The 11,044-nt window shown below is 38.7% G+C and overlaps 1 long non-coding RNA gene across 3 annotated transcripts; it reads left to right on the forward strand.

The window, feature by feature from the left end:
• The first annotated feature begins 1,148 nt into the window (after positions 1-1,148).
• Positions 1,149-10,008, forward strand: LOC107986057 (uncharacterized). 3 transcript variants are annotated; one of them, XR_001740582.2, is made up of 3 exons: positions 1,149-1,271; positions 5,769-5,955; positions 9,145-10,008. It is a non-coding gene; the product is annotated as an uncharacterized LOC107986057 (long non-coding RNA). The 3 variants fall into 3 exon arrangements; XR_001740583.1 differs by lacking the exon at positions 9,145-10,008 and adding an exon at positions 7,163-7,364 and having other exon boundaries at positions 1,149-1,300; XR_001740581.1 differs by lacking the exon at positions 9,145-10,008 and adding an exon at positions 7,163-7,364.
• Positions 10,009-11,044: the final 1,036 nt, after the last annotated feature.

Genomic DNA, 11,044 nt, shown 5'->3' on the forward strand with positions numbered 1-11,044 from the left:
AATTATCTTGCAAAAATATGTCATATCATGAAAAATGTTCACAACACATGGTTAGGTTTAAAAAGTAGCTTATTAAACAGTAGATCTAATAGAATACTATTTGGATAACACTTTTGTATTACAAGATGAAAAATCTATATATTATTATGTATGCAGAGAAAAAATACTATAAGGAAATACACTGAAATGCTAATTGTGGCCATCCTTTGGAGGCAATGTTATAGGGATATTTTGTTGTTAGTTGTGCATAATTATGTTAACTACTTTTTCATAATAAAATGTATTACTTTTGAAATCAAAGAAAGAAAAAACTATCATGTGGAAATATACACCTAGGAGTTTGGATTTATTTCCAAAGGAAAATGTCGTGGTGATAGATTCCTTGCAATAATTTTCATAGACACACAACACGAGTGTGTATTAGTTCCTCCTGAGGTAGAATCACAAAGTATTTGCTCTTAGGCTCTTGATCTGAGCCCTGAGGAATCACATTTTCAGTTTTATTCCAGGCATGTTTCAGAAATGGCAAGATGAGATGAAAGAAAGATTAGAGTCATGTCTAAAAATTGGCTTTACTAGGGCAAGTAAGTCCTTCCTGTATAGTGAATTGTCATTTTGAACTGTAAGACATTTTTTTGAAGAATTCTTTAACCACAAAAACAAAGATTTTCTTTTTGTCGTTTTATAGTCTCAATTTCAGCAAAATATAGTGCATATAATAACAAACAGATGGAGGAAACAAAACAACAAAATATTCAGTGTTAGGCCAGCACTGATTAAAGCTTAATATTTTGTCTGGGGGTCTAAAATAATCTTTTCAGAGAAAGTAGTTGTCAAGGCAGCTGGTGTAAAACTGTTTATTCTTTTTGTCATCTTGTAGAGATGTTAAAGCTTCCCTATTGCAGTATAATGCTTTTAAATCCATAAACGATCCAAGGTTTTAAAAGATGTACATATATTAGATCTGAATTTGTTCGAATTATTTATAAAGTGGAGAGATGGTTAGCATTAATGAAATGATCCTTTCAGTCCTTGCAAATTGTTCCCATACCTCTTTCTCATACTGAAATATTTACTGAGTTTCTGTGATGTCACTGAGTTGGTTGCTATGGGAAACCCATACAAGATCAGGAAGTGTTCTTATTTGTAGTAAGTTCATTCTATTCAAATTAGGTATCCTTTGGAATAGGAAACGTTTTCAGCCATTGTACATTATTGAACTTTTATTTTGTCTACCGTGTACAAAGTACCTGTGAGATGGGGATACAAAGGTAATGAAGTTATTTTTATACATATGAAGGTAATTATATTTTTAAAAGAATTACTATGTAATGCAATGTAGCTAAGATAATAATGCAAAAAAAACTTGCTATATGAGATTGGAGGAAGGAATTTGAAATGCATTTAGCTGCAAGTAACACAAAAGTCAAACTACACTGACTTAGTTAAACAGATTTTTTTTTTCTTATGTAAGAATTGGAGATATAGTAATTAAGGACCAGTTCAATAGCTTAGTGCTGCCAGAAATGATGCCTCCACTTTTCTCTTGGCCTTTTCCTAAGACTTAGCTCCTCTGAATTTCAAGATGGCTACTAGAAATCATATCCACATTGAAGGCAGAGAGAAGACAGAGGAAATGAAGTAGAAACAAATGGATCTTTTCCCTTTATCAAGAAAGCAAGAATTTTCTCAAAAATCCCAGCAGACCTTTCACTTACATCATGTAGTGGATATGTTTCCCTTCCCAAGTCTTTTTAGTCAATACTGGGGCAACCAGTGTCATGAAGTTGTGACCGAATAGCAGCCCATTTAGCTTCATTGTGTATCTAACAGTTTCTGCCCAGGCATCATGAACACAGCTTATAGGAAACCTGTGGAAATCTGCCACTTATGGACAAACTGGAGCTATGAAAAATTAACAACCTATGAGAACAGTCCTTGGCCAGTGGAGAAGAGAAGCCAATAAGTAAATTCTCGACCTTTTCATTTCTTGGGCAGATGATAGTGAGGCTTTGTCTATACAGTCCCTCAAATAATACCAGTGTAATGGGACCCCACTTGCCAACAATGATGATGATTTTAAAAATTCACAATTTGCAGGTTCCATAATTTTCTGTTTCTTTCTTAGAAAAAGAACTGTGTGAGTGAGAACTTATTTATGATCTCTGAGATTTCTTCCCAAGAATGTTTTCTGCACACAAATCCTTTTCTCGGGCTCTACTTTCTAAAGAAATTCAGACTATGACACTTCTCATTGGCCAGGCCTGTTTTATATGACTGCTCTTTATTTCAAGGGAAGCTATCAGACTGAGTATCTAGTTGCAAACATTTTTATCTAATCAGGAAGTAGAAGTAAGAGGTATTGAGAGAAGATTTAACAGAGCAGGTTATGCTTAAATAGGTCTTTGTAGATTAACTAGGAGTTTTCAAGAAGTGAAGGGATAAGGAAGCTTTTACAAATTGTCTATGTGAAAGGATCAGCATGACCAGCACTGGAGAGAAGTGAAAGTATAAGGCTTATGCAACAAATGACAAGCTGGCAGAAATTCCATTTGACTCAAACTATGAGTGAAAGAAAGAACAGAATCATAAGCACCAACAAAATGAGTCTGGACAAATAGAGGCAGGTCTCATTGGATGGGTCTTGTGGCTTTTCCATAACCTTTCCCCTTTAGACAATCTTGAATCTTTAACAAAGAGGTGGTTATTCACTTAATACATATTTATTTCTTGCCCACAAAAGACATGTCTTTATCTAGCCACCAAGAATACAGTAATGACCGAAAAGCACAATTACTTTCTTCTTGGAGCTTACACAATAAACACACCAAACGAATAATTCGATAAATAAGTAATACAATGACAATCAGTGATAAATGCTATAAAGACACAAAAAAATCAGGCTATGAGAACTGAGAATGATAGAAAGCCAATTTTAAACACAGTAAGCAGGAAGGAATGCCCCGAGAATGTGGCATTTAGGTGAAGGGCTGAACTAAACAGGGAAAGAATTATGTGGGTATCTACAGGAAAACCATTTTCAAGAGAGGGGACATCAAATCCAAGGGCTCTGAGACAGGGCCAAGCTTTTTGTGCTTGGAGAGGACCAAGAAGGCAGGGTAAGTGGGAAAAACAATGATGAGGATGAGTGTTAAGAGGAAATGTCATGAAAGCAATGTGGAGACTGGACACACAGGGCTTTGTAGGTCAATGGTGAGGTGCTTGGATTTTATTCTAAGTGTGTTGGGAAGAGACTGGATAATTTTGGGCAGGGGGTAATGTGATATAATTAGATATTTGAGAGATTGCTGTGGCTGCTGGGTGAAGAACTGAGTAACACAGAGGTGGTGTAAAAATGAAGCGGAAAGAACAATTAGGACAGCCAGTAGTATAGGTGATAAACCATGGTAGCTTGGTAAAGGATACTAACAATGTAGATGCTGAGTAATGAATATTTTAAAGATAGGCTTGCAAGAACTTGCCAATAATCTGTATGGAGTATGAGACAAAGAGATAGTTGGTGATAGCAACTAAAATATGATTCCACAATGAAACAGGGCTTTAAGGGCTCTCTATATATTGACAAGTCGTCATGACAACCTCATGAAGTGTCACTATTATTAACATCCTCATTGTACACACGAGAAACATGAGGTACAGGGAAATTAGTGAGTTGCTAAGGCCATGCTGCTAGTACTTAAAACGGCAGGTTTTAAAGCCATGCATCTAGCTCCAAAGTCATCATCTCAACCACAACACTATTTCGAGATGCCTACTAAATATCAATGGCAACATGGAGTAGTCAGTTGTATACACCAAAGTGGAACTCAGGAGAGAAGTCAAGGTCAATGATACAAACTTATGAATCATCAGACTATAGATGTTAAAACCATGGGACAGGATGAAATCTCCTAGGGCAGAGGTTGGCAAACTTATTCTGTAAAGTCCAGATAGTAAATATTTTAGGCTCTGAGGGCCATATTGTCTCCATTGAAACTACTCAACTATGCCATTGTAGCTTGAAAGTAACCATAGATAATAGTAAATGAATGGGTGTGGCTGTGTTCTAACACAACTCTCTTTACAAAAACAGGCAGTAGGGGAAGATCTGCCCTCTACTCCTAGTTTCCCCTCGTGGTTTCAAGGAATAAAGGTGGTTAGAGAAGTGACAGGGAGTTGGAACTCTCTACGTTACTGATGGGAGAGGGCTGCAAAGAAATCATCAAAGGAGACTGAGGAAGGGAAGTGACAGAGGGAGGAAGAAAACCCTCAGAAAGAACACCAAGAAAAGAAAAGATATTTATCACAAGAGGCCAAGAGTGTGGCCAGAGGGTAGAATCACAGAATGAGAGAAGTAAAAGGGACTTTAGTCTTTTGTTCAAAGATTCTAATTTTTGTAAATAAGAAAACTGAGGCTCAATAGGAGAAAATGATTTTCCCAAAGTCATTTCAAGAATACAATACATTTTTCTAAGGCATCCACGTTATGATGTTTCTAAGGCATACTCAAATATTATATATTTTAGCTTAAAATATAAAACAAAATTTTGCCAATAATAGCATCACCCTGAATGAGCACCTGAACACTGCATTCTGGTTCAACAAATACTGGCTGCACAACTGCTTTGTGTCTACAAGAGCATCTGGCTCTGGAGCCACGGAGATTAAAGATGCAGTGCCTGTCTTCAAGTTACTTGTAGTCTAAAAGGAGAAGTGGAAAAAGAAACAGATAATTGCAATAACTTAAGATATGTTTTTCAGGAAATCCTAGCCAGGTGCTATGGACTGAATTGTGTTGCCCTCAGAATTCATATGTTGAAGTCCTAACACCCAATGTAATGGTATTTGGAGATGAGGGTTAGATGAAGTCAGGAGGGTGGAGCCCTCATGGTAAGTTAAGTGGCTTTGTAAGATGAAGACAGAAAGATTGATCTTCCATGTGAGGACATAGTGAGAAACAGCTTGGCCATCTGCAAGCCAGGGAGAGTGCTCTCCCTAGGGACTGAATTGACCAGAGCCTTGATCTTGGTCTTCCCAGGCTCCAGAACTATGATAAATAAATGTCTGTTGTTTAAACCACCCAGTCTATGGCATTTTGTTATAGCAACGTAAGCTGACTCATACACCAGGTGAGCCTTGAGAGCACAGGGAAGGAAAACCTAACCTTGTCTGAGCATTAGGGACAATTTCCTGGAGGAGAGGATACCTGAAATACCTCCTCCAAACTGTGTCAGTGCCTTTCCAGTATATTCCTATATTCTCTAGGCTTTTCTTCATCACAACACACATTCTTCCTAATTAAGTGACTTTGTGTTTATCTATCTCTCCACCCCCTCTTCCCACAAGTTCCTCGAAGTCAGGGCATGATTGTTTATGGCCACCTTTGCGTGCCCTTTGCAAAATACAGAGTCAGTATTCAATAAGCTACAGTTTATTGAATGAACGAAGGCATGAAAATTTGACTTGGTAACCCCAATGAACAAATGAAGGATAAATTGGAGGTACCCAGGCAAAGAAAGAAGAATTTTGATACAAAAAAACAAAACAGCTTAAAGAAAGACATGAACCTAGGAAGCAAGTGGTGCATTCAGGAAATGACAGGTAGACCTGAATAATCTGAAGTAGAAAGTTGAGGACTGAGAAACGTTTACAGCGTGCTTATAATCTATCAAGAAATACTCTGATACTCTGACTTATTGACTATATTAACTCCAGTAATGCTCATAACAACCTTTTGATATAAGTTGTATTATAACTCCATTTTACAGAAGGGGCAACTGAGACAAACAGGTGTTGAGAAATTTGCTCAAGATTACACAACCAAGATGTAGTGAAGCTGGGAGAGGAACCCAGACAATCAGCCTCTGGAGTCCTTTCTGTGTACATGGACTTGAGAGAGCACTAATGACCACCTTACGCAGACCTATAAGGCCAGGCTAAGGAGCTTGAATTTTTGTAAGTAGCCTACTGGAAGCCATTTAGTTATGATAGCTACCTGGTTTGCTTTCATTTAAAGTAAGATTTGAGAGGTGTAAGACTGGAGTTGCAAATTTTCAGCTGAGACATATCAGGAAGCCAGGAATTATAAATGAGGAGACAGATTTCATAAGTATTTGTGGGGTAAAATTGACAGGGCTTTATGCCAGCAGAGGGTGAAGAATGCAGAAATAAGATGAGTCAAGGGATGATACTTAGGATGATGGCTTAGGTGACAAGGTGGATGGTGAGGCCATTAACTGAGACAGGGAATCCAGGAAGAAAAAGTGACAGGGGAAGATGATACATTTAGATTTCCCTATGTTAATTTCAAGGTGCCTGGGGGCAATCACATGCAGATCTCCAAAAGGCAGTTGAATATTGAAGTCTGAGACTCAGGGACAGGCCTCTGTTAGATTTAAAAAGTCGAGTCATCAGCACGTAGGTGGTAGTTAACACATGAGAGCAATGAGTTTTTTATTGTAAAATTTATGTGCACGAATATTACCTACCAGTGTGTGTGCACAACTTTGGAAGCCCAATTATCAAAAGCCTTCCTCTGAGGCCTTCTCAATTAGCTGAATCTGCAAAATATATTACAAGATGCTAAAGTAGCTCTATTGGTTTCAGCCTCTAAATGTGTCCCCAAAGTCCTCAGCAGGAAAGAAGTAACAGAGTTTGCTTTTACAAATGCACTTAAAAAAGCAAAAATAAAATAAGATAAATATAAATAAAACATCTCCCCTTCCAAACATAAATGGTGTCCAAGGAGAAGTTGAATTCTGATGGTTTTCTTCCATGTATAAAATTAGGCCACCTCAGTTTGCCCCAACTCTATATTTTTGGTTGTCACTTATAAAACCTTTGTATGTGGCATTGCAAGAGGGCCTTGAGGAGTTTCTTACAAGGGCAGACTTAATTAACGTTTCCAGCTGTGTGCAACTTCTCAAGCCCCAGGCAGTGAAGAGGAGCATACTAAATAGGAGGCCAACCTGTCTATCTCCATTCAAGTTTGATAACTTTTTTCTTTTTAATATTTTTTTACATTTTTTTTCTACTATGTCTAAGAATTAGCTCAAGGTTTAATAACCCTTGATCTCAGCTCAGGAAAGTGTTGAATTTGGGTAAAAACAAAAAGTAATGTTGAAACCCTTCATCACCCTTCCATGATTCATTTCTTTTTCAGACATTTTCCAAATTTTGGGCTCCAGTCGATTCTTGTGTATTACGCTGTGAGCAAGACTTGCATGTCGTCACAGAGAACGGGGCACTATCCCTGATAAAGATTGTGGGAGTTGGCTTCCTACAGCATCGATCACATGGCTTTAACCCACGAGCAAGATGGCTGAAGCTGAAGAATGGGCTGGATCACAAAAATAGATTTTCTGTCTGAGGTTTAATATGCTTTCTTTCTTTCTTTCTTTCTTTCTTTTTTTTTCTGAAGACTGAGTCTAGCTCTGTCACCCAGGCTGGAGTGCAGTGGCACTATCTCAGCTCACTGCAACCTCCACCTCTGGGTTCAAGTGATTCTCCTGCCTCAGCCTCCCGAATAGCTGGGATTACAGGCACCTGCCACCATGCCCAGCTAATTGTTGTATTTTTAGTAGAGACGGGGTTTCACTGTGTTGGCCAGGCTGGTCTCAAACTCCCGACCTCGTGATCCACCTGCCTTGGCCTCCCAAAGTGCTGGGATTACAAGCTTCAGCCACCGTGCCCGGCCATTTAATACACTTTCATCATTATACTCAGTTTCCAGAAGGGCTTCTTGGAGTTAAGGAACATGGGTTTGGAAATCAAGAGATGGGTTTGAGGCCTGATGTAATGGTGATTTGAGTGTGATTTTGAATAAGCCATTTTTTCCATTAAGGATCTCCATTTTGTCTTTGGTAAATCAAGAACAGTGCAACACACCAGACTTACTGCTACTGAGTCATTTAGTTACCGCTGCAGAGCAAACCGTCCCCAAAATCAGGGGCTTTACACAACTATTTCTTGTTAGAGTTCACGCAATTGCAGGTCAGCTGAGGTCTCTTGTTAGATTTGGCTTGGCTGGGGTAGCTATGTGAGACAACTCCGATTCGTCTCTCATTAATCTCCTGGAACCAATGGGCTAGCCTGAGAAATGTCCTTCTCCTGGTGGTAGCTAAAACATAAGATCACAACAGAAACACAAGACAGCTCTTGAGGTCTAGGCACAGATCAGGCATATATTCACTCTGGTCTTATTCTATTGGCCAATGTGAGTTACATCGTTCAAATCAGAGTCACTGCAAGGGCACAAGGCAAAGGACATATGTCCCAGCATGCATACCAGGAGGGGTGGAGAATTGGAGCCACCCCTAATGTACAACATTTAGGACAACAGTTAAAATACAAAAGTACTTTGCAATCAAATTTCAAAGAAGTTCAGTTAATCAAATTTATGTACTCATCTTTTACCTAAAGTTTCAGCATTTGTAAAGTCTCTAACTGTTCAGATCTACACTGTTTAATTAGCTGTTCTAATTGTTTCAGAAGTACAATATTTTTTCATGACAACCACCACCACCACAGAACACCTTGCATTTACATGAACCAACAAAAATCCTTGTTATTAGAACAAAAAGGTTTTTTTTTTTTTTAAGTAGGCCGATACAAGATGGTCAAAGGATATACAAAGACAATGTTTGCATTTTCTTTGTCTGTTAGTAAATTACCTGGCTGACCCCTGCTTCTGAAGAAACAGCACTTTTCTTATTCTGTCCACATTTGAAGAGAGGAGATCATTGATACTTACTTGCCCACTCTAATCACAAATGCGATAGGTCTAATTCTCTCCACTTTGGGATCCCTGCATCATTCCGGAGACAGGCACTGTACCTGGACCGGCATGGTTAAACATCACTCAGACATCAGTGCACCCTCCCATAGCTTTTATCTCTGAGCTGAGCTCTCTGTGCACAAAGTGCTTGTGAAAGGACAGAATGTCAAAGACAGGAACAGGTTGTGCATTTCTAAAGATAGCTGGAGAGAGTTTAAGCAGCATGTATATTTCTATCCTTATTCACAGCTTGTGTATCAAGCTTCATAGTTAGTTATAAGCATTTTATTTTAATTAAAGAGACAAACAATGACCCAGTGAGAGAATTTCTTTATTTTGAATTTTGTATTTTCTTCCTGCTCTCTCAGCCTGCCATTCTGACGGTGGAGAAATGGATATGGGCAGTTCAGCCACCTCACACCATCACACTCTCTTTTGAGAGCGGTCTTGGAAACCAGCCAGATTGCATTGTTGTCCTTCTGTCAATTACAAGTGTGCCAGACACCCAAAGCATTGGGGAGGAAGTGCAATTATTAGAAGCTACCCAAGAGACTATCCCAATGTCATCCCTGACTTGCCAGGTGACCTTTAGAAAATCAAATGTGTAAAAGAGGGATGATAAATTGTTCTCTAGGCCAATCATGCAAATGAGTAGAAACACCAAAGGAGAAAAAAGTTAGGGAAAGGAGAATTCCAAAGAAACCAATTTTTGTTCATGGAAGAACTGTCTTCTAATACAAAGAGAACCATTCCCAAATAATGGGTAAAATCCTTCCCCCAGATATTGGTCATAATTTACCAACCTACTCCTGTTCATGTCTGTTAATCCCAAATGCCTTCTTCCTGCCAAAACCCATGTATCTAACACCTATTTTTTCATTTTTGGTGAAGCGTTAATGGTTTTATAAAATAACTTCTAAGATTCTTTACCCCAATGCCAGAAAAGCCTTTATTTTCCCTTGGACATAGGGCTGTGGGGATGAGAGTGAGAACATAAATGGGAAAGCAGAAAAATCTATTTATTTATTATTCATGTGTCTATGGATATAGCAACTCTATTGGCCTGGTTGTGGTCTGACACTGAAGGGATTATATTTTCAGAGCAAATATTAAAGGGAGAAATTATTCTTAGTCATCAAAGGATTGGCCTTCTAAGAATGTGTCCCAGTAAGAAATACTTTGAGCTACATAAAGAGTTGGGTAAAAAGAAAGCCATCATGAATTGAACACCAACTATACACCCACCACTTTCTTTGACATCTTATATATGTATCATTTAGTGAGAAACAAAATTACTTAGAAGTTAAAATCAAATGCAAAATGAAAGTCACTGGCTAAAATTCTCTACCATGGACAGAGCCAATCTGGGCCTCCTTGTATATTGTTCTTGAAGGACCTTGGATAAGTTAAAATTAAATGAAATATTGGACATTATCAACAAGGCATTCTCTTAGAATGATATGTGTCTTGCATGTTGCCAGATTGTGATGATAATTTTATATGTCAACTTAACTAAGAAAAGGAATGCCCAGATAGCTGATAAAATGTTATTTTTGGGTGTGTGTGTGAGGGTGTTTCCAGAGAAGATCAGTATTTTACTCAGTAGACTGAGTAAACACAGTTCTCCCTCACCAATGTGGGCAGCCATCATCTTATCCATCGAGGGTCCAAATGGAACAAAAAGGTAGAGGAAGGGCCAATTATTTCTCTCTCTTCTTGAGTTGGGATAGCCATGTTCTCCTGCCCTTGGACATCAGAGCCCCTGGTTCTTGGGCCTTTGAACTCAGAGACTCACCCCAGAGCTGCCTCTCATCCATCCCCTACTGCTCCTCCCTGGTTCTCAGGCTTTTGGCCTTGGACAGGCAGTTACACCATTAGCTCCCTTAACTCTCAAACCTTTGGACTTTGGCTGAATTACACTATTGGCTTTCCTGGTTTTCCAGCATAGAGACAGCATATCTTAAAATTTCCTGGACTCCATAACCGTTGTGAGCCAATTCTCATAATAAATCTCCTCTTATATTTCTGTTATCCCATTGGTTACGTTTCCCTGAAGAACACTGATTAATATACTGACCTTCACTCTTTACATTTGTATACTAAAATATTGTAACTCAATTTTGAAGCTAACCACCTGGAGTTAGTGTTAGACTCCCCATAGATTAAAAGACACGATCCCCAACGAGACTGCCCTCACTTCAGATGTGAACAGCAAGTTAGAGGGTCCCCAGGCTACCTGTACTTTTGATCAACTGGCTACAAAACTGG

Source organism: Homo sapiens, chromosome 3, assembly GCF_000001405.40.
Source record: "Homo sapiens chromosome 3, GRCh38.p14 Primary Assembly".
Classification (NCBI taxonomy): domain Eukaryota; kingdom Metazoa; phylum Chordata; class Mammalia; order Primates; family Hominidae; genus Homo; species Homo sapiens.